We start from the raw sequence: 22,910 nt of genomic DNA on the forward strand, positions 1-22,910 counted from the left end.
AAAACATAAGCATGTATCCTGGTGTACCTGGAACCTCCTGTCTACAGTCCTGCACTGGGACACAAGGTGACGGGTCCAGCCTCAGGGAAGTGACCTTGAGCAGCCACCCAGCCCGGCCATGGCAATGTCTGGGGCAAGGCAGGGCTGGGCTGGCCTCATGCTAGTGACACACTTGAATGGATGACTGTCTGCCTCCTTGAATGAAAACTGAGAAGACAAATTCTTTCCGCTTTAGCAAAGGAAACATTTGGCGGACCCGAATTCGAAACATGAGGTCATGGAAGAAAAGAGTGTAAGATCCTTGGTGATGGTTATGGGAGGAATTGTGTCCCCGAAAAATATACGTGGAAGTCCTAACCTCCAGGACCTTCAAAGGGGACCTTATTTGGAAGTAGGGCTTTGCAGAGGTGATCAAACTGAGTAAAGATGCAGTCAACCCTGGAGCAGGATGGGCCTCTAATCCAACCTGCCTGGTGTCCTTAGGAGAAAGGGCCACAGGAAGACACAGGACAGGAGAAGCCTGCGAAAATGCAGTGATGCGTCTGCAGGCCAGGGTCGCCCAAGATGCTGGCCACCACCAGGAGCTGGAAGAGGCAGGGAGGGATTTTCCCCAACAGGTTTCAGAGAGAGAGAGCGCGCCTCTTGCCGGCACCTTGATTTTGGACCTCTGGCCTCCAGAAGTGTGAGATGATAAATGTCTGCTGTTTTAAGCTACCTGGTTTGTGGTATTTTGTCATGGCAGCCCCAGAACTCCAATACACTGATTAAACAGAAATTTGCAGATCGTCACCCAGGTCCAAGGCTCTCCTTTTCAGGTGAGGAAGTGAGTCACAGAGAGATTATGTGACCCGGCCAGGGTCACGCAGCAACAGACGCAGAGGTGTGGTTAGAACCCGGGTATCCAGCTCAGGGCCTGTACTCTTCCCACCAGCTCAGCCCCACCCACCAAGGCAGCCCCCACACCGCACTCACCCACGACCAGCTCGCGCACTTCCTTCCAGCGGATATGGCTGCCTGTCTCATGCAGTAGTGTCACCGTAATCCGTCGCTGGATGCCCTGCCGGTGCCAGGTGAGAGGATATGGTCAGACGGCTCAGGGGGCTACGTAGGGTGAGGGAGGGGGACACAGGCAGGGTAGGGGCAGGGAGAGGCTCACACCTGGTGGGGTGGGGGAGGGGACACAGGCAGGGTAGGGGCAAGAGGGGCTCACACCTGGTGGAGGAGGAAGGTCCCCATGCATGGCATGCCCCCACGGTGGTCCACCACGGCCGGGATGTAACTGGAAGAGAGAGACACATGTGAGGAGCGGCCAGCCCCTCCTCTCTGCCCTCCCCGCAGCACAGGACACAGTGGACGGGAGCAAAAACAGGGAAAAGTCAGCAGCTCCCTCTGGTGAAGATCAGGTGGTCTGATCCATGGAGACCACGGTCAGCTGAGCACAGAAACCCACCAGGCCTCCTTGGCTATCACCTCCCAGCCCTGCCCACTGGACTGGCAGGGTGTCCAACAAGGAGACACGGTATGGCACAGCCTGGCCCCTCTGGGCTGGATCTTTGTAAGTTCCCAAGGGTCCTCTGCTTCCCCTCATGCCCTGCAGATCCGCAACCCAAGGCCAGAGGATCCAGAGGAAATCCCAGCAGATGGGCTCGTCTTCTCCAACATCTAAGGCTCCTGTCCCACTCTGGGCAAGGATCCGAGTCTCCACCAGGCCCCACTCTGAGCTGCCAGCCACAGCCCAGCTCCCAGCTGCCCCCAGGGCACCAGGCAGACCCCCACTGGCCTCCACCCTGGGGCCCTGGAACCTGCCTCCCCAGGGCCTCAGGGCTCCCCTCCCACCTCCCTCAAAAGTCCCTTGATCACTTTGTAAGTGCTGTCTGCCTCCCTGCCCTGCCCCTGAGCCATACCCTGGTTTGCTGTCCTAGTGCTCAGGACCATGGGGACACTAATTCAGGTGCTTATCTGTCCAGCACCTCCCTGCCCCTCATGCCAGCTCCTCCAGGACTTTGTCTGCTTTTACTCCCCAAGACCTAGATGAGGCCGGGCCCACAAGAGGTCTGCAGTGAACACCCGCTGGAAGAACGACTCTGGATGCTGGCAACCCTCAGGCAGCTCAAGTCCTCGTCCCTCTCCGCGCACCCCCCGACACACACTCACGCCCTGGGGGCCCCAGCACCAGCACTCACTCGCCGTTGGCCTCCAGCTCACAGATCTCGAAGTAGACCAGCAGGTCGTACTTGCAGTGGCAGGGTCCCGGACAGGGCCGCGTCAGTGTGCTGAGCTTGGTGGCGGGCACTGTAGGGACAGGAGGGAGGCATGCATGGATGGGAGACCTGACCTATCACGTGCCAAGGGCACACTCAAGGAGGAGATGCCGGGGCCAAAGGGACTCAGAGGCAGCAAGGGCACCTCCCCCTCCTCAAGGGAAACAACCAGCCAACCCCAGCCATTCCCAAGATACACCGGGTCCTGGGCACTCTGTGGCCTTAGCACGTCACATGGACGCTCACGTTCTCTGTGCCCCGGCTAGGAAAGGCACATGGCCATGTACACTCGGCACAGCTCATGAGGAGGACAGTGGTCAAGACCCCAAGAACCAACAGGGCAGCCGCACATACCCTTGTTCAAAAGCCCCACAACCCTCACGGGGCCGCTCTGCCATGCTGCCAGGCCCATTGCCTACACCACACCTTGGCCACAGCCTACTACACCTGTCCAAGCACATTTCACCAGCACCCAGGCCTGGCCCGAGAGGACCTGTCCCTCAGCTCCCACTGACCCTCCACTCGTGTCCAGCTCCTGACAAACAGCCTCTGTCCTCACATCCTTCACCCACCTCTGTCTACCACTCCCTTCTCTGAGACCCATCACACAGGTCCTCTTCTAGCAAGTCCCCTCCTCTGCCTCTCCTACAAATATGGATCTACAGGTCTTTCTTGCAGGCTGTGGGGAGGACTGAATCTCAGGGAACTCATACTGCGGGCCACAAAGCCTGTACAGACCAGGGACTGGCTCTGCAGCAGCTGGAGGGTGTCCTCCCACAGTGTCCTCAGCCCGCAAACCTTCATCTTACAGGGGTTCCGAGGACAGGGTCCTTGCAAGGCAGGCACAAGAGGCTGACACCTGGTCACCATGTGTGCAGACCCAGTGCCTCCACCCACCAGCTGCAGAAGCAGCTTCTCACACAGGCCCCTACCCTCTGGGGTGCTGGTGCCCGGGACCACACTCCCTCCTTCAGGAGGGTTTCTGGGCTATGAGAGACTCGGCCACACCTGCTGGGCCTCAGTCTGGCTGTCTTCAGCTCTCCCCCGACCATGTCCCTGGGTTTTGGTCTTGCAGGAAATAAACTCCACTCTTTTAACTAAAAGCCAGTGGATCTCAAGTGCTATTCCATGACCCACCTGTTCCCACAGGCAGAGGCTCCAGGCTCCAGGCAAAAGCTCTGACAAATACTTCTCCCCGACTGACCCCACACTCTCGCTCCCACCTCCAGCCTCAGACCCCCGTGAAGGAGCGTCCTAGATTGCCTTTCATCCCCAAATCTCCACCTCTCTGCGTTCAGCTGAGATGCCTGAAGTCCCCTCAAAGCCCCCGACCCTCTTGCTGCCTTCCTTCCTTGGCTCCCCACACCTCTGCCACCAGCTCCAGGCTACTCTCTGGGCACAGGGCAGACCCTTGCTCCATGGGGACCCCGTGAGGCCTGACAGGCTCAGGGTGGCGCCAGAGTGCCTGGGAGGGCACAGCCCAGTCACAGAGGACAGCATTCACTGCGGGGGCCCAGCCCACTACAGCACCCACAGTGAGGGGAGCTCACTGCCCTGAGACGGCTCCAGAGACCCTTCCTACCTGGCTTGGACAGTGGCATGACCCGAGGGAAGTGGCGGCGCGAGGGCCTCAGGGGGCTGTGGAGAAAGGACCAGTGTGAGGTGTTTGCGGGACCCTGGGCGGGAGGGGTCAGAAGGAGACAGAAGGGCTACAGGCCCCAGGTGCCCATCCCGGCCCCTCCCACCCTCTCTTCTCCAAGACCGTCCACCAGCTTGGGTGGGAGGAAGAGGAGGGACCCTTGGGACCCCAGCTCCCACCCCAGAGGCCACAGGGAACCAGGGCAAGGGTCAAGCTCTGGCTCCCAGTCCAGAGTCCCTCAGGCACTCGCGAGGACAGACAAGCACCCCCAGAACAAAGCCTTCATTGCCCTTCTCTTTCCCTGACACCCTGGAGGGCCCCTGAGCTCCCAGTCCTGCCTGACAGCTGAGGGGAGATGGAGATGGGAAGAAAGGGCCCACCCGAGGCCTCTCTGCAGTTCTCTCTGCACTCGAGGTGCCCAGGAGGGGTCGGCTTGGCCCAGGGTAGACACTCCTGTCCACCTTCAAGGGTCTGGGTGAGATGGCCTGAGTGGAAGTCCTGACTTCATGCCCCAGCCCCGCAAGTCTCTCTGAGCCCCCATTTTCCAGGCCTCAGGAGGCTGCGTGGACTGAGGGAGCTAGGCCGGGCTTCCCCAGGGTGTGGCACAGCTGGGCCCCTTTCCTGGGGTCCTCGGTGGGCAGCAGAAGTGGTCTCCCCGGGGCCACCCCAGCATCCTACAGCTGGCAGCCCCTGCACACTGCCCAGGCCAGCAGGAGGTCAAGCAATGCTCACAAGGAACTCTCTGCAGTCCCGAAGGAGAGAAGCTGCAGGCAGGCCCAGAGCTCTTAATTGCTCTCTGAGTCCTGCCAGCCCTGGGCAAAAGGCCTCCTGGATGGGCAGGGGAGGTGGGTTTCAGGGGGTGCATAGGCTCTGCAGCCTCAAGACAGCTGGATGAAAAGATCTGGGCAGGGGCTTTGAGGACAGCAGCCCCGAACCCCCCGACCCAGGGCGCTAACCTGAGCACGTCCTTGCAGAGGGGCGGGAACGGGTGCTGCTGGTAGTGGCCAAAGACCTCGAAAACAATGGGCTGGCTCTTGATGTACTCAATGAAGGACTTGGTCACCTCCACTGCGATCTGGTGGGCAGGCAGGTGGGAGGACAGGAGGGCACGGCCAGGTCACATTCAAGGGGGAAGGAGAGTCACATCAGTGAGCTAAGCGCTTCAGGCCCAGATCTGGGACCCCTAGCTGGGCCCACGTCTGCCCAGGGGCAGCAGCCTCCTCTAGGCCCTTCAGCCCAGCCCCTCCTCCCACCACGTGCCCCAGACAGACTCTGGAGTGTGTCCCTCGGGCTCTCTCTCCAGGACGAACAGGGGCCGCGTGGCTCAGCTGCCCTTTCAGAACACGGAGCTGGGAAAGGTGACAAAGGGCAGCGCTGGTCTCTTCAGGACTCCCCTTCTTAGGTCCTGCCCCACTCAGCAAGAGTTATGGGTTGGACCATGTCCCCTCACCAAATTCGTATGTTGAAGTCCCAACCCCAGGACTTCAGAATGAGAGTATATCCTGGGATAGGGCCTTTACAGAGAAAACGGAGTTAACGAGAGGTCATCAGAGTAGGTCCCAATCCAACATGGCTGCTGTCCCTATGAAAAGCGGAAGTTTGGGCCCAGGCACACGCAGAGGGGGAGGGCCATGTGAACAGACACAAGGAAGAGGCGGCTGTTCTATAAGCCAAGGATAGAGGCCTAAGAAGGGGGCAATCCTGCCCACACCCTCATCCCGGGCTTCCAGCCTCCAGAGCGATGGGAGGCCACATTTCTGTTGTTTTTAGATGCCCCCACCTGTGGTGCTTTGTGACAGAAGTCCCAGCCAACTAACCCACTGAGTCTCCAGGTTATCACCCCTGCCAAATCCACACCCGTGGCCTGGCACTCAAGGCCTGGCTCCCTGGTAGCTTTCCTTATCACCGTTAGGCACTCTTTCCCCTGCTGCCCCAGGAGCCCAGTTCTCCCGCCTGGAGAAGGAGCTGCTCCGCCTTAAAGGCCCCTCCTCTCCATCATCCTAGCAGCCCAGCTGCCATCACTCTCCTGCCTGGAGTTTTCCAGACCTCTCGGGACGTTGCCGGCACCCTGTAGCCCCTGTGGCCCTGCCTCCTTCCCATTCCCAACACCCAAGCCAGGGCTGCCCTGGCTGAGCACCCCCGGCCCTCAGTACAAATCCCAGGCCCCACTGCACCTGCATCCGGCTCCCCATCGGCTCTATGCTCACTATGAGCAGCTCCCAGGGGCTCTGAGCGGCCCCCATGCCCCAGCTGTAAATCCATCAAGGGTCTCCCACTGCCCAGAAATCGCTCCTACACCCTGCCTGGCACTGGAGTTCCCGGTGCACAAGGCAGTCCTGGCCCACAACTGGTGTTCAGAAGAGGGAGAATGAGCCATGCTCAGAGAGGCCCTGGGAGGGTCAGTCAGTGGCAGGGATGGGGAGAAGTGCCCAGGAACGTACGTTCTGGACGTGGTAGAAGCCAAGTGGGGGGCCTCTGCCTGTGTTCTTCAGGGGCTCTGTGGAGAAGGCCTCGTCGTGGCGGTGGATGAAGCTGCAAAGCAGAGGAGATGCTTTGGTGTGGGGTGGGGGACTTGGGATGAGACCTTACCAGGTGGAACCCACCTCACACGAGGGCGCTGGGGCGTTCAGGGCCTGCGGGCTGGGCCAACACAGCACCAACATGGCCTGCTCCCTGCCCAGCACCCAGGCACGGGAGCCTTGGGCACAGAGTCCCTGCGCAGCGCAGGGACACAAAGGCAGCAGGGCCTCACTTGAACTGGCAGAAGATGTCGGCATATTCGGCAGAGATGCTGGACGCCTGCAGGACTGTCACACGGAAGGTGAAGGTGTTGCCCAGGCGGAGGTGGTCCAGGGCAGCATCCAGGGGCCCATCCAGGGCGGCTTTCTCAGAGCTGTCTAGGAGGAGGCCTTCTGGGGGCACTGCTGCTGGGAGTCAAGGAGAGAGTCATGGACCTCCAGGCCATATTGTCTTCCAGCCACAGGCCTGGGCCGGGCTCAGGAACCAGGTCTCAGCATCCCCTACGCCCTGGGCAGCTGGGGTGGGCGACCCACCTGAACAGGTGTTGTTGTTGACTTCATCGGCTGAGGGCCCCACGTCTGCACCCTGGCCCTGGCCCTCCACGATGCGAAGCTCTTCCTGGGAGGTTCCCGAGCGGGACATCCCCACCACGGGGCAAGACTCGGACTGGAACTGATCAGAGGGGGACCAGAGTCAGAGAGAGCCAGGAGCCAGCCGAGGAGGGGCACCGTAGACCCTGCCACAGGCCCACGGGAGGGCTGTGCCACCCAGAGCCTGGGCTGGGGCCTCCATGAACCCACGCACCAGACCTGTGCCTGCCTTGTAGGGGGGCATCCACCTCCCCAGGTCTCAGTTTTCCCTGCTGTGGATGTGTGTCTTTGGATTCTACAGCCTATGGCCATGGGAGTTCTGAGCTGTCCTGGAAACAACTCACCACCTGCCTCTCTGCTCTGGTCTTCAGTTCAGCCGGACCCCCGCCTGCCAGGGCCCCTTGTCCAGCAGGTTAGCTCTCTCCCCTCCCCTTCTTGGGCATCCCCAATACTGACAGCCCCTCCAAGAGAAAAGGCATTGGGCAGACAGACCACCCTCGCTCAGGGAGTAGGGCACCCAGGTTCCAGGTGACGGCACGGCCAGGTGGGCAGGGGTGAGAAGCGAGTCTAAGAAGGTGGGGACAGGAGCCACCTGAGTGTGGCATGGGGTGCACTTTGGGGACCTTCCTCCACCACTCTCTCAAGAGCAGAAGAGGAGACTGAGTGGTCCAGGTGCCACTGGACACAGCGCCGGCCCTTCACATGAGGACCGCAGGTAGGCAGCCTCAGGGGGGCAGCCCAGGAGCAGGCGAAGGAGCAGGCGAAGGGGGCAGTGGGAACGCGCCGTACTGTGGGGACCCAGAGGAGAGCTGGTCCAGAGAAGGGAGACAGGGTGGGGGTGGCTGCACCTCAGTGTCTGTTCTGGAGGCTCGTGTTGTCCACCTGCTCTGCGCCCCGACTTGGACCCTGGAGCGGCCGTGGTGGGAGATGGGCGGATCCAGGGGTCAGGGCAAACCCGGGAAAAGGGGCGCAGTGTGCTTAGAGATGGGGCAGGCTCAGTGCTCTGGACCAGAGGGAAGAACCCCAAGAGGACTCAGGGCCCGTGGGATGGGACACAGGGGTGTTAGAGGAGCAAAGTGCACAGGACTCCAGTGAGCGCCAGGCACCTCCAGGTCTGGGACTCGGGAGGGAGCTTGGTACCTTTTCAAAATGCTGGTCATCAAAGGAGATTTTAGCAGTTCCCGACTGGCGGACGCCAGAGCCATAATCAGGGGCCTCTTCATCGGCTGCAGGAGAAACAGAGCAAATGGTTGGAGCCCAGCTTGTCCCCTGAGGTGGGTGTGGGCAGAGCCAGGCTGGGCCACCCCGCAGTCAAAGTGAGGGCACAGGAGCCAGAGCAGGCAGCAGACCCCTGACCGAATCTGCCACCCGTGGCTCAGTGACAACCAGGGCATGTCCCGGCACACTGACCACCCGCCTGCCCAGGGGCCCCAAAGCAGCCACGGCCTCATCACAGCCCACCTTGATAGGAGTCACAAAGTCTATATTTTCAAAACCAAATCTTGCCCGCATTCCCAGGTGCTCAGGCAGAACCCAGGTAGCCCCTCCCCATCCCCATGTGCAGAGACCACCCCACCAGCCCTGCTGGTCCCACCTCCAGAATCACAAAGTGCCTCTGCCACCATCTGGGTGAAGCTACCACCTGTCACCTGCCTAGACATTCAAGGGCCACCAACCGCCCCTCCACGCAACTCCCCAGGCCTGCCGGTGCATGCGCCCACACTCCCCAGCCTTCAAAGCTCTCAGTGGACCTGCTGCCTAAAGCCCTGAGCTCTGTCCTGCCATGGTCTGTGACAGTCAGCGCCTGCTCATGCAGGAGTCAGTGCTGAGGGAACAGCAAACTGACCTCGCCCGGGTCACGGGCAGGGCTGATGAGACTTCTGACACCACCAGTGCAAGGGCCGGTGCCTTTTCTAAGTTCCCTTCTCCACCACCACAGCCATTAGACAGGGAAACAATTAGGTATCACCCAACATAAAATGATCCAGTTGTAGGATGGCCGGCAGGAGGCCTGGCGACGCAGCCCAGGATAGGAGCACTTCCTAGGCACTATCCCAGTCTGGTTTCCCAGTATATGACATGGGATAGCAGGGGCTGTGGACCTGGGCACACAGACCTGGGCTCAGAGCTGCTGTACACCTTCCTAACTGGCGACACTCATCTGAGAGGTGGGGGTACCTCTCAACCCCATAGGGTGCAGGACAAAGGTAGAGCTTTGCACTGAGCTTGAACTCGGATCCTGGGAAATGGGAAACCTCCATGTGGACCCCAGAGAGCTCCTCTGACCAAGGGCAGACCAGGACGGCAGCTGCCCTCACAAGGACATGGGCCGGCCCCACGGCCTCTGGTGCAGCCCCACTCTCAGGAAGTGGCTGTCAGGGTGGGGGCCAGTGGGAGGAAGTGCTCAGGATGGCTCCGCTCAGCCATCCTGACCACTTGGTGGGAGCTGCTGGCACAAGGCAGGATTGGGAGGACCTGGTGAGGTGGGGGTGGCACCTCCTGGAGGGGAGACAGAGGTGATAGGTGTTCCCAGCTTCCCTGAGTATTGCAGCCCTGGTAAACACCCCACCTTCCAGCAGCAGGGCTGGGGCCCTTCCCTGGTGTTCACCCTCACTCCCCAGCTGGGCCCCCTGATTCTCAGCACTGTGGTATCACAGTGACTGGATGACAAGCAATGACATGGCCAGTGGGAGGTGCTATAAACAGCATTTAGAAATTATGGGCTAGGCTGGGCAGGGTGGCTGGCCAGGCGTGGTGGCTCACGCCTGAAATTCCAGCACTTTGGGAGGCCGAGATGGGCAGATTACTTGAGGTCAGGAGTTCGAGAGCAGCCTGGCCAACATGGTGAAACCCCGTCTCTACTAAAAATAAAAAAATTAGCTGGGCGTGATGACGCACCCCTGTAGTCCCAGCTACTCTACTCGGCAGGCTGAGGCAGGAGAATCGCTTGAACTGGGAGGCAGAGGTTGCACAGTGAGCCGAGATCCAGCCACTGCACTCCAGCCTGGCGACAGAGCAAGACTTTGTCCAAAAAAAAAAAAAGAAAAGAAAGAAATTATGGGCTAAGGAGAATTTAACATTAGAGTCAAATTAACTTCATTAATTAGGTGGGATTAAAATCACCCAAGGCAGCCAGGATAGCAGAGCCGGGAGAACCAGACATCTTGCATCTTGCAGGGGATATGAGGTAACTCAGGGTGGAGAATATGAGCCATCTCGGAGTTGGGGGACTTGCCATCTGGGGAGGGGTATGGCCATCTCAGCCTGCTCCAGGTCGCTCCTCTAAGCAGCCCCAGCCCGGCAGCCAGGAGCCCCCCTGCAGCCATGGATGCACGTCCTCTCTGCATCCATCTGCCTGTCTGTGTGTCTGTCTGTCTGTACTACTCCCTCCCTAGGGTGCCCAGGCAGCCAAGGCCTTTGAGAGGAAAAAGAGTGCTCCTTGGTGAGGGGAGACCTTGGTGGAGGAGCCCGGGGCAGGCAGGGAAGGGAGTGGGACCTTCCCTCACGGCACAAGCCGCCTGTTGCCCTGCAGCTTCCAGGCAGCCAAGCGCTCTCACATCTGTGTTCTCAAGTACCCTTCAACATTCCTATCAGGTGGGGAGCATTACAACGGATCCCGTTTACATGTGAGCAAACCAAGGCTCAGACACTCTGGGGCTGCCCTGGTGCCTCTGGCCATCCGGAGCAGGCTGAGCAGCACCAGTCTCCACCTCCCACAAGGGAGGGGCTTGTGTCTTCAGGCCCAGTGTGGAGGGGGACAGGCCTGTGCCTGAGAGACCAGGGAATGCATCAGGGAACCAGAAGCACCCCAGGGAGGGCTGCCCTGAGCAGGGCCCAGGGGCCAGGGACTGGGCCTCACACGCCTTTCCTGGGGCTGCAGAGACAGCCGGGTGGGTGGAATGTGTTGACAGAGAGCACTTGCTCTGCAGCAGGCTGGGGGAGGGATCCAGGTGGTCTTGGGTCCATATGGGACTGCCTGATGGGAAGGTGGAAACCCCCAACCAGAGCAGGCTCAGATGGCACTGGGCTCAGCCTGCACAGCCCCCAAGGCACCTCCAGCTGACCCTGGGGAGTCCAGAGCCAAGAGCTGGGCAGCAGGGGCTTCCCCTCCAGGGCCCACTGCGGGGCAGCAGCCCGGGGCGCCAGCCCAGGACAGCGTGGAAAAACAGCTTCAGGTTGACCCCAGGGAGAGTGGAGGGCCAGCTGAGGCCAGCTTCCCACTAACCACTACATGATGCCAGAAGGCCCTTCTTGGGCCCACGCCTCTGCCTGCAAAGGTCAGAGCCAGCCCCAGGGGCTCCAATGCCACACACGGCCTTTGGCCCACACGCACCTGAGATGGCCTGGACGGCCACGCGGAGGAAGCCCTTCACCTCGCCCTTCTCGCTGACGATTGCCACACGGTGTACCAGGGGAACGGGGTACAGCAGGTTGCTCAGGTACACGAAGGCCCTGGGGAGAAGCAGAGGCGGCGGTCATGGGCCACCCCTCCACGCATGTTCTGAACGGCAGCGGTGGCAGCATGGCCTGGCTCACGACACAACATGGAGCTGCAAAGCAGAGGGAAGCCGCCGGACAGGACAGCCAAGGCCAGGACAGCAAGAGCGGGCGGGGACAGGCAGGGCAGGCACTCACAGGAGACAGGAGGTGGAGGGACAGAGAGGAGGACGAGGAATGAGCTGCGGAGAGCAGAGGCACAGTCCAGCTGGGCCCGGACCTGGCTGCCTGAGAAGGGAGCAGCCGAGGAGGGAGGTTTCAGCCTGCTTCAAGGAGGACGGGGGCCAGACCAGGACCCAGACCACACTGCACTGCCCCCCTTTTCACACTGGCACTGATGGCCAGCATCGCTCTGCCTCCTGCCCACTTCCCAGGGGTCCCTGATGCTCACGGACCCCGCAGAACCCCTTCCCCAGACAGAAACTCGGCAGGTGGGAGCTCCGAGGTGAGTTGGCCAAGATGAGGCACCCCCAGCCCAGGGCCCAGGGAGGTGCTGAATGGAGCCCTGAGGACACCCCCAGGGCCACGGTGCGGCCCAGCCTGCCCTGTCAGAGACCCAGAGCACCAAGATCCCCCTTTCCTAGGACCGGCCTAGGCAGAGACCACGAGTACCTACGGTCGCCAGATAGCTGCTGCGTTCCCTGTGCTGACCAATATGTGGGCAGCTGGGAGGACAGAGAGGACCCTGGAAGACCCCACGCCACACAGCCAGGCGGAAGGATACCCTGCTTCCTGCTCCAGGCAGGTGTGGCTCTGAGCACCATGACCTCCAGCATGGGAAAGGGCCGTGCCTGGGGCCCTCGATTCCAGAGCAGATACTGATGAGGGGATGAGTGAGACTCAGCGGGCTGTGAACGCCCAACACCTCTCTCAGGTGGGCTCCTGACCTTGCTCCCTCCACACCCTAATACCCCTGACCTTCCTGCAGCAGCAAGTCAGAAACCAGCAGCACAGGGGCCCCTCCTACTCATCAAATCCATCAGTTCCACCTCAAAAGTCTTCAAGAAGCCCCCCTCAACTGTCCCATCACCACCAGCCACCCTGCCATGGCCCCCACAGCAGACAGAAAGGTCTTAAGGCACCAGTCAGACACATCCCCCCATGCCCTTGGTGACACTCAAGCTCCTTGCAGGGGTGTCCATGCCCCATGTGGCCCTGGGGGTCCAGGCCCTGCCTCCCCAGCACAGTCAAGCTCAGCCTTGTGGCCCATGGGTCCATGGATGCCCCGGGTGTCTCTGTTTCCAATGCAGAAGCCCTACCCTCCATCTCATCTGCGGCCTCAAGCCTCCTCAGAGGCCCCAGAATCCCAGTCACTGTCAGGACCTTCCCCTTGGCCGTCTCGTTCATTCTGACTTTACACATCCTCATGGCACCTCCCTCGCTTTCTGAGTGGCCCTGCTAAGCTGAGACCTCACCAACGCCCTCACTGCAAAATGGCCCAGGCTCGCAACAGGAAAAGGGTCTTGCTGCCCTCCAGGGGCCTGAAAGTCTCCTCAGGCCTCTCTCCGGGGGTAAAGGAAGCCCCTGGTGGCTTTTTGGGCCCTCTCCCCAGCACAACGCCCCCTCTGAAGATGCCCCCCGAGAAGCGAGTACCCCACACCAATGGAGCCCATCAGGGACTTGTTACCCACAGGGCTGCAGGCGGCTCTGCCTGACTTAGGTGTGGGGGCTGGAGCTCCACTGCCCTGGGCCACCCACCCAGGTTATGTCCAGAAGCGCCCATGGAAGCTCACCCTGGCCCTAGTCACGAGAGGACACTGAGGCCCACAGGGCGGGGCCCCTCCCCACAGTCCTGCTGGGTGCTCCGCAGGCAGGGACTCACCAGCATCCCCTTGGGAGGGGGACGGCAATGCCTTCCCTCCCCAGGGCACCCCGGGCTCCTGGACAAGGGTCTCTGCTTGACAGTGGGGGTGGGAAAAGGGGCTGCTACAAACTGAGCAAAGCTAAGTTGTCCAGGAGTGGGGGTGGGGAGAGCCAGAACTTGGGCCGCCAGACAGCACGGCTCTTCCCCGTGGCTGGCGCACCACACTGGGGGAGACATAATGAGACCAGACGGGACAGCCCATGCTGTGGGGCTCTGAGCCAGCCCCTGCCCTCCAGCCCCCACCCACCCCACATTTTCCCAGAGCTAGTGCCCACTGCAAAAATCCCAGGGTTGGAGGGCAGAAGGGCACTGAGGATGAAGAGACTGCCCCCACCCCACTCTGCAGGAAGCCCATGGGGTGGTGCTCGGAGAGGGGGCAGGACCTGGGACCACTCCCACTGTGGGCCAGGTGAGGACACTCAGGCACGGGGTTCCTGAATCCATTGGCGCAGCTCACAGGAAGGAGAGGCTAGAGCTGTCCAGGGCCACCCAGACAGGGTCAGACACTACCTTTCCTACCCCCAAAGACCCATCACCACAGCTGCCTTCCCAAAGCTTAGGGCAATTCCACAGGGGCTGCTGGCAGTGAGCAGAGCCCTGGGCTCTGGGGCCATCCACATGTGCCACTCATGGCACCACAAAGGTGACCCACCAACTTCTGAGCTACCCAGGACCACACCCAGAGGGAGGAGACTTCTGCACCTGAGCTAGAGAAGGGGCCACTCCCTTCCCACTCTTAGCTCTCAGGGTCTCACACTGATCCCCTCCTCACTCTCCCCCACTGCCCTGAAAGGCCAGGTCCAAGGGGGTCTGAGGCAGTGCATAGAGAGGTAAACTGAGGCAGGGGCCAGGCCCATCCCAGGTCACATTGTGAGGCTGTAGCAGGCAGGCCCCATCCTGGCTCTCTCCACAAGGGCTCCCTGCTGAACAAACGCTGTGTGGAACTGACTCTGAGGAGACGCCTTCTGCCATGTTGCCAACTGTGGGCTCAGGCTCCAGCAGCACAGCACAGACTCGAGTGCCCCACAAATCAGACAGGGGCTGGGCTCGAGGAGGAGGCCCAAGCCCCTCGCAACCCCAGGCTCAGATCATCCCATTATGAAGCAACATGGCAGAAATCACAGCAGCCGGCATCTGTGGAGGCTCCCTAGGGGCCAAGCACAGTGGCGAGCACACAGGGCCTTTTGCTCTTCTACCTCCTGGGAGGCAGTGCACCCCCATCTCCTCGCCAGGGCACGTCCTAATAAACAGCCATCTCAACTCAACCAGCTGCACCCTTCTTTCTTAGAGATGCAAAAAATCCACCCAGGGTCTCAGCACATTAGAACGATGAAATATGGTACTTATACCTCATCGCACAGAGGACGACCCTGAGGCAAAGAGATTAAGGAAGTCACCAGGGCCTGGCAGCAAGGGCCTGCAAGGGACTCATCTCCAGCTCAACTGTGTGGACACCAAGCTCCACCACCTACTTCTAGGGCCAGGGTTGGCTTCCATGGGCACCTCCTCACCCACTCTGAGTGGGCAATTCACCTGGGCACCTGCTTAGTTATCACAGCTGATTGATTAAGCAGATCGATTGTTTCATGCTTTTTTGGACTGTCCTCATGCTGGGGGCTGGGAGGACCCAGACACTGTAGCATCACAGACTGCTGCTAACTGCTTTCAAACAGATGGGCAAGATGCAGCCCAGACTGTGCCCCAAAGGTGGGGACTGCTGGGGGTGGGGCCCCGAGGGACATCCAGGTAGAGGTTATACAATGAAAAGGACCCCGGAGGTCTGACACCAAATGCTCCCCCATCTCTACAGCACCCTGTGAGCATCCTCATGGCACTGACCTCGGGCCCCAGGCCACCGGTGGGACATGTGGATCTGGCTGTGGCTCTAGTGCTGGGTGCTCTCCTCTCCCCACTGCCCGTCCCAGTCTGCCTGGCTCGGTGATAGACTTGTTCAGCCAGAAGGGACCTCTAGGGCCCTGAATCCACTGCCCCAGTGGCAGCACCAGCCTCAAGAGAGCTGTGAGCTGGGCCCGGAAGGTGCCCCTCCACTCTGCGAAGAGCCCATGCCAACCAATGCACCCGAAGTGTGAGGTGATGGGGCAGAGCACTGGTGCCTGGCATCTTGGAGCCTGGCGTCTCTGCCCAGTGGAGACACCCTCCAGGGCCGCAGGTCTCACATGCTGGGCAGGCCATGCCCCCACCTGCCCTCTAGGTGCCAGAAATAACCTGACATCAGTTGGGAACCAGAGCGTAGCCCAGGCCTGTCCCTACCAGCCACAGACACACCCAACGCAGAGTGGCTCTCAGGATCTCGGGCCGAGAGACGCCATCCGCAGCCATGCTACAAATACCAAGACAGAGGGGCCCCAGCCCACCAAGAGCACCATGTGGGACCCAAGGGAGTGGCGTGGCCTTGCCAGTCCAGAGGGCACAGAGCTGACCCAGAGTGAAGCCCTCGAGCTGGAGCAACGTTTATCGACCCAGCCCTAGACACCTGCGCTCCCTCCCCAGCCCTGCTCCCCTCCCAGGGACCCTTATCCCAGGCAGTCAGCCTCTCGCCCTGCTCTCTCTGCAGCTCCTGTGCCCACCCACCCTTCCTGTGTTTCCTACCCCTCCTATGCCAGGGGAAATCAGAGCCCCAGGCCCACTCCTGTTGGAATATGGGCAGTGGTCACCAACCCACCTGCCTCCCCAGGTCACCTGGTGCCCCAGACCGCCAGAGGCAGAGGCCCCTGGGGGCTGACCCTGGCCTTGGGTGAGGAGCCCCAGTGCAGAACACAGGAGGCCAGTGCTGGATAGGCCTTCCGCAGAGGCCAGGGTACCTTGAAGCAGACTGAAACCCAGCCCAAGAGAGGCAGCAGCAGAGGCAGACAGAGCGAGGGCTGAGTGTGGCGGGAGGGAGGGAGGAGGCAGGTGCTAACCACAGATTGGTGAGGTGCAAAGACGCATGCTGGGACCCAGGGAAGCCTTTCCAGAGGGGACAAGAGTGGGTGCCCCAATTTCGCTGAAGCTTTGGAGAGAGAGCCAGCAGCTACCAGAAGGTTAAAGGAAAATCAACGAGGGGCCTTCCCAGGGCCGGGCCTGCACAGCTGCTGCATGGGAGAAGCCAATTCTTGCCAAACCAAAAAGATCAAGATGATTCCCAATGAAGCCCTTCACAGACCACCCCGCAATATGGGGGCCAGGTCTCTCTTTGATGACTTTTGTTTGGTTTGGTAGTTTCGTAAAATCTCAAATCCACAAAAGGGGAAAAAAATGTTGGAAGGACCCAGCTCTTTCTGGCTGAGACTGCGAGAGCCCCACCCCACTTCTCCTGATGTCCTCATCCCCCTGTGCGTCCTGATCCCTCACCTACCTGACACCCGGAGCCACTCCTGGGGCCCAGGAGGTGCAGGGGGCCTGGCCCTACGGCCCGGGGCTTTCTGAGAGAGGCCTGCATGGAACTGGCCTTGGGGTCCACTGCTCCCTCTTGGGCCCTGCAGAGTGGGAAGTACAGGCCCAGAGCATCTCGGAGGGAGAGTGCCACAGGTTTTTATCTGGTAGGCCAGCTTATCTCACCTCACAGCCTAGTAACACTCATGAAAAATTAATCAGAATAAATCCATGGCACCTGCCCATGAGGACCTGCTGTCTTCCAAGAGGGAGGGTGAGGCTTTCCTTCCACCATCTCCACCCAAGGACAGAGTAAAGCCCGTGTAAACCCTGCGATCTGGGGCCACCCTTAGCCTTCAGCTGTCAGCACTGCTGCTCCAAGCTCCAGACTTTTGAAAACTTCCACTGGCCTAGCCCAGGGAAGCAATCTTAATCGCCAAAAAAAGGTTGCTATTAAGAATTATCTTATGACATTCATATATGTAAAATATATAAATTCAGCTGTTTCGTGAGCTGACCTTCTGACTACTACAGCCAGGTTTCTAGATCTTTCCTTCACCTGACTTCCCTTCCATGATAACAGAAAGGCAGCTGGATTTGCCAAATCTGCCAGCAGGGTGGGACGTCTGCTCCCTGGGTCTGGGCTTCCCCAGCCTCCATTCTGTCTCCCAACCGTGGCTTCTCATCCATTTGGGCAACGTGATAACCAGCTTCTCTCTGCAAAGGGCACATTCCATGAGGGCATTGGGCCACATGCCGCCATCTCTGGCCATGACAACCGAGGAGGTCAGGAGGGATGGAGTAGTCCTCACCTTTAGACAGGCATGTTTTGCCCAGGCCCCATCATTTCAGAGGGAGATGGGAGGGTTAGCAGCTGCCTCCCACTCCTAAAAGTGGCCTCAGGATGGCTGCCTCTGAGTTCAGCTCCTTTCCCCAAAGAGAGTGGAGAGCACTGAGAGCAGCCGGGAGCCTCTGTCTCTTCTGGATGACAGCTGAGCTGGGGTGAGGCTGCCTCCGCTAGGACAGTGTTGATTCCCAGGAGAATGACAGGACGGGCATCCTGCTTGGGGGCGGCTGGCCCTCACCTATCAAATGCCCCTTGGGCCCTGCACTGGGACTTTCAGGGAGGAACTCGGCCATTGGGTGCCTGAGCCACTCCGGGGTTCCTACGGCCTCTCTGCAGAAATAGTCCCACCTGCCTGGGGCCACAGCTGCAAGCTCCGGGGTGCACTACCTCTTCTGTACCTGGAACCCAGACTCTTCCCTGCCGGCCCAAAGCGACCGTCTCCAGGATGGGTGAGCAGCCCCACTGCAAGGATGCAGGGCCCGGGGGCCCTCGGGTGCTCTCCTCAGGAGGCCAGCCCCTCCACCTGCCTCGCCTGCCCTGGGAGGGCCCGGGCCAGGCCCCAGCGGTTCCTCTGTGCCCGCAGCAGTGCTCCTGTGCAAAAGAGCTGGGTCCTCCCCAGCATGCTCTCCTCGACCTCACCAACCTTCCTACTAAACTGAACAGGGGGGGCCGGTCGTAAAACGGGTCCCGGCCGTCGCACAGCGCGTGCTCCGGAAAGACGTCGTCCTCCAGGTCCTCCTCCTCCTCATCCTCCTCCTCCTCCTCCTCCTCCTCCTCCTCCCCCACGCTCTGCTCCTCGGCAGGCTCGGTGGCGTCGGAGTCGGGGCTCGAGAAGGTGGGGGAGGGGGTGAGAGCAGCCATGCGCTCGCTCATGCATGTGTTGAGAAGAGGGTAGCTGTTGCAGCCAGAGATGGCTGAACTGAGGTTAGTGCGACAAGACAGAGAGAAGTTAACACCAGCGACTCGCAGGGACGAACAGGGGCCGGGGCCGGGGCTGGGGGGCTTCTGTTTAAAACCAAAACCAAACACACAGACCATCGAGAATGCTGCTTTAAAAGATGAGAGAACCAAAACTGTGCCCCCAGGCTTGGAAAGAAATCACATGTATGGCCAGCAGGAAGGTTCCGGAAGGTTCCGGAGGACACCTGCAGGTGGGACTGAGAACAGGGGTCTCGGCTGGGAGTGGCTGAGGCCATATGAGGACCTCGAGAGTTTGGCCACGTTGAGGCCTCAGAATACCACGGTCCCATGGGGTGAAGGGGGCTGGGTGCAGACCCCAGACTGGAGACCGGGGAAGGAGGCAGCCATTTGTAAGGCTCAGGTGACACAGCCCTGCCTCCATGTTCCCACCCTCAGGACCAACAGGTGACCTGGAAAGTTTGCTTGGGAGCCTCACATATTCATACACATGGACCCATGGGTTCTGGCGGCTACAGCCCTGCAGTGGGTTTGGGTGGCAGTGCCAAGACCCCATCCCACGTCCCCTGAAATAACAGGCCCTGTGGTGTGTGGAGAGGAATGGCTGGGAGGAACCTCAGGCCAGGGAGGACAGGGCTGGGAATATGGGGCTGGAAAAGCACTTGTCAGGGCCGCTCCTTGTATCAGGCCAGGGCCCACTCCTACCCCCACTGCCATCTCTCTCTCTCAATCTCTCTCTCTGCCAAGGAAGGGAGGAGGCGCCCACCTGCCCACCAGCCGGAACCAGGGGAAGCGGTCATAGAAGGGGTCTCCGCCGGTCACCACGTTGTCACAGTCCTCGATGACACTGGAGGGCACCTCTGCAGCGCGGTCGTACATCTCCCGCATCAGGTCCAGACGCTGCCTGCAGGGACGGCAGGGGTCAATGTGGACCCAGGCCCAGCGCTCAGCAGCTGGCACCGCACACCCTTATCTCCTGGGGACAGTGGGCTCAGCCTAGCTCTGGCCACCACATCCAGCTCAGGGTCATCAAGGTCCAGGGGGCTTGCTAGACAGACCCCCTCTGTGACCCTTAGAGCTGGTCAGTCACAAGTAACGTACTCAGCTAAGCACGCAAGGTCACCAACAGCTCCTCCCAAACTCCCTCCAGGGGGTGGGCTGGGGAACAAGCAGTGAGGGGCTAGAGGGGCTGGCGGCACTGGGCTGCTGGAAAGCTGGCGGAGAGGTGGGAAGAGAACCCAAGTGAAGCTCAGAAACGGGGATCAGGCCACAGAGGCGCAAGAGCTCGAGGAATAAAGGGCAAACTGGGGGTAGGGACACAGAAGACAGAGAAAATAGCCTACAAATTATTATTCCCAAGAAAAACTTAATGTAGGACAAAGGAAAAGCAATCATTGTGCCCCTAGATCTCAGGTATAAGAGAAACCACATCAACAGTGGCTGTCCGTCCTTCCAAGCCACGTAACCTGGGAGAACAGGGCAGAAGAGTGAGGAGGGTGAGTGTGGGAGTGTATGCTGTGTATATGTGCACATCTTCATGAATGCTTATGAGTGTGTGTGTGTGTGTGTGTGTGTTTGCATGAATGTGTATGTGTGTATGAATGCATTAATCATATTTTTATTTTCTGTATCTTGTGATGTTTTGACTTCCTTGGGGGGCACTGCAGGCTGGGGAGGGCTGCCCAGGTCCTGATAATTCCTAGAGACAGTCAGCAACTTGCCATCACCCCTGCCTTTCCTACACAAACCAACCAATCCCAAGTCTGTACCCCAGCCACCTCCTTTCTCTAACTTTTTCACACACCAGGCCAATATTCCCCCTGGCCTAAATCACCCAGGACAAGGTACCAGACAACTAGGGACAGCCCTATGCCCCAGAGCCCTGCAGAATTATTCAAACTAGCCAAGCCTAAGCTGTCTCCCTGCTCTGCCTGGCCTTTCCCACAACCCCAGGCTGTGGCCTGGGCCTTCCCCTACTCCTACTCCTCTCTGCCTGGTGCCTCCCCCTGTAGCCCTGCAGGGTGGGGCGTGCCATGCTCTGCTTCCCAGGGGCCTGTGAGTGACATTCAACTCCCCCACTGATGGCGCTGACCTCACATGGTGACTCAGTCACCCCCGTAACTTGAGGCCTGGCTGGGTGCAGTGGCTTGCACCTATAACGCTAGTACTTTGGGAGGCCAGGGTGCAAGGATTGGCTGAGGCCAGGAGTTAGAGATCAGCCTGTGCAACAGAGCGAGACCTCATCTCTACCACAAAAAAAATTCAAAAATTAGCTGGGTGTCATAGTGCACTCCATTCCTGTGGTCCCAGCTACTTGGGAGGCTGAGGTGGAACAATCACTTGAGCCCAGGAGTTTGAGCTGCAGCGAGCCATGATCACACCACTGCACTCTAGCCTGAGCAACAGAGCAAGGCCCTGTCTCTTAAAGAAAAAAAAAAAAAAATTAAGGGCTCAAGACAAATCAGCGTGAGCATGTGGGGACAGCAGAGGCCGAGCTTTAGGAAGGACACCAGCTCACGTTGGGCACAGAGGGGCACAGCCCAGGCTTCCTCCTCACCACCCCCACCTCAGCTCCTCCTCCACCTTCCACTGGGCTCAGCTAAGGGATCCACCTCCCGGCAGCTTCCTGAATGGAGGAGCAAGGGGGCATTCCTTCCATCCCCCACCACCTCTCCCAGTCCCTCTGGGGAGCCACCCTTCAGGCCCTGCTGTACCCGCTCTTGGCGCTCCGCCAGCCTGTTCTGTCGGTGCCACAGCCTGCCCTCCCCTCCACTGCACCGTCCTGACCCCTGTGGGCCTAGGGAGCATTCCCCTCATCTGTCCTTTCCTCCGAAAGAAAATGTCCAAATCTATTTTTATGTATGATTGCTGCATTGGTAGAAAGAGAATGAGGATTCTACAAGGCTGGACTCTATTCACATTTTTCTTCTGATTTTAAAATAATTGGAACAGGAGGAACAGCGGTGTCTGCAGGTACTCGCTGTGAAGCCTGTGCCTACCACCGCTCCTGTGGCTTCAGCCCTGCCCAGGAGGACCCTCCCACCATCCACCCAGCGGCCCTCCAGCCCCACCTGAGCTTCTCCAGCGTCCAGTAGTGGGTGGCCCCGTTCTTCTGGTCCTGGACCTCCACGGCCACAATGGTGCGGGGGAAGGGCCGCGTCTCTCGGTCTTTGGCGGCCTCTGGGGGCAGCAGGTCGGGTGGCAGAGGGGAGTAGAGTGTGTCCGTCAGGAGGACAAACTGGAATTGTACCTGTGACAGGGGAAGATGACCACTCGTCAGCTCCTTGGGGGACAGGGTGCCAGGTCCCCAAAAAGGCTTCCTTCCCACCTTCTGGAGATTTCAGCTGCCTGCCCCACAATGGTTCACTGGAACCTTTCAGACAGCCGCCAGGGGGGACCACCTACTTCCTGCCTGCCCACCCGGCCGCCGTCTCCCGTGAGCAGCCAAGTCCCACCTGGCCAGGTCTGGGCTCCCTCACTGCCCACCCTTCTGGGGGGCCAGGTCAGGCAGGGCTGCTATGCCACCCCCGGGGCCGGCAGAGAGCCAAGTGCTGAGTCCCAAGTAGCTGTCCCCGTCATGAGTGAGGTGACACACTCTCTCCAACAGGAAACGGTACAGCCAGTGGGCAGCCCACCTTCTTTTTCAGCTCCACGCTGATGGCATTGGCCTCCTTGAGGAAGATGGCGTTGCCCCACAGCAGGTCCCGCAGAGACGTGAACTGGTACCACTTCCACTTCCGGAAGGCCCAGAGCGCCAGCTCACACTCCCGCTCTGTCCACTGGACTGTGGGGAGAGGTCACACGTGGTCATCGCAGGAAGGCCATGACCCTGCCCACCATGCCCCGCCCTCTGGAAGGTCAGGCTGGTCGGCCACTCCATGGGGCTGCCTAAGCTGACCCTGTGCTCTGTGTACATCACGGCCGGGTGGTTATCAGGTAACAAGATGGAAGGCTGGAAGGTTACTCCCCCTGTGGTCACTGAGGCCAGAGGTGGACAGGCCCCTCTCTCCCCAGGCTTCCTCTCACTCTGGGTCTGGGCTGGGAGAGCTCTGTGCTTGCCCCCCACCCCGTTTCACACTAACTATTTGGGTACACAGAAAGAAGAAACCGGCAGAGAGCTCTGTCACAGTGAGCAACATGAAAAGCTCTGCATGCCCCAAAGGAGAGGCCGCCACGAGCAGCCTTGTGAGTCAGGCTGAAGATCAGAGTGGCTGGGGGAGCAACACCGTCAATGACAGCCACACACCATCTGGGGCCAGCAGTGGGGAGCAGGGCCCACAGGAGAGGAGGCAGGAGGGCAGGCCAGGTGCTCCCAGGTGGCCCTGGCCCGTACACTCTCTCCCCGACCCATGCCCTGTCTGTCCACTGGGCCCTTGAGAGAAGGACAAGCAGGGACACAAGG

General features: G+C 60.0%; 1 protein-coding gene across 28 annotated transcripts in view, besides 1 other annotated feature; it reads right to left on the minus strand.

Annotated features, from left to right (window-relative positions):
- KIF1A (kinesin family member 1A) overlaps window positions 1-22,910 on the minus strand; it is a 107,637-nt gene that overhangs the window by 25,319 nt on the left and 59,408 nt on the right. For 16 of the 28 annotated variants that reach the window (NM_001379653.1, NM_001379650.1, NM_001379635.1 and 13 more), the window contains 13 exons: window positions 22,144-22,292; window positions 21,580-21,758; window positions 19,275-19,412; window positions 11,344-11,462; window positions 8,151-8,236; window positions 6,954-7,092; window positions 6,653-6,824; window positions 6,342-6,432; window positions 4,857-4,975; window positions 3,844-3,899; window positions 2,184-2,292; window positions 1,213-1,279; window positions 973-1,057 (listed from right to left, as the gene is read on the minus strand). In NM_001379653.1, the coding sequence (NP_001366582.1) occupies window positions 973-1,057; window positions 1,213-1,279; window positions 2,184-2,292; window positions 3,844-3,899; window positions 4,857-4,975; window positions 6,342-6,432; window positions 6,653-6,824; window positions 6,954-7,092; window positions 8,151-8,236; window positions 11,344-11,462; window positions 19,275-19,412; window positions 21,580-21,758; window positions 22,144-22,292 (1,509 nt within the window). Of the gene's footprint in view, window positions 1-470; window positions 585-972; window positions 1,058-1,212; window positions 1,280-2,183; window positions 2,293-3,843; window positions 3,900-4,856; window positions 4,976-6,341; window positions 6,433-6,652; window positions 6,825-6,953; window positions 7,093-8,150; window positions 8,237-11,343; window positions 11,463-18,233; window positions 18,510-19,274; window positions 19,413-21,579; window positions 21,759-22,143; window positions 22,293-22,910 lie in introns of all 28 variants that reach the window. The other 12 variants (NM_001379645.1, XM_047444819.1, NM_001379633.1 and 9 more) reach the window with 4 other exon arrangements.
- Window positions 408-1,607: an enhancer, noted in NCBI's record as "P300/CBP strongly-dependent group 1 enhancer chr2:241678910-241680109 (GRCh37/hg19 assembly coordinates)". NCBI's record gives its function as "activates an origin of replication core promoter dependent on BRD2, BRD4, P300/CBP, MED14 and CDK7 cofactors, with strong dependence on P300/CBP, by STARR-seq in HCT116 cells {active_cell/tissue: HCT116}" and the evidence as "EXISTENCE:reporter gene assay evidence [ECO:0000049][PMID:35650434]".

This window comes from Homo sapiens, chromosome 2, assembly GCF_000001405.40.
Source record: "Homo sapiens chromosome 2, GRCh38.p14 Primary Assembly".
NCBI lineage: Eukaryota > Metazoa > Chordata > Mammalia > Primates > Hominidae > Homo > Homo sapiens.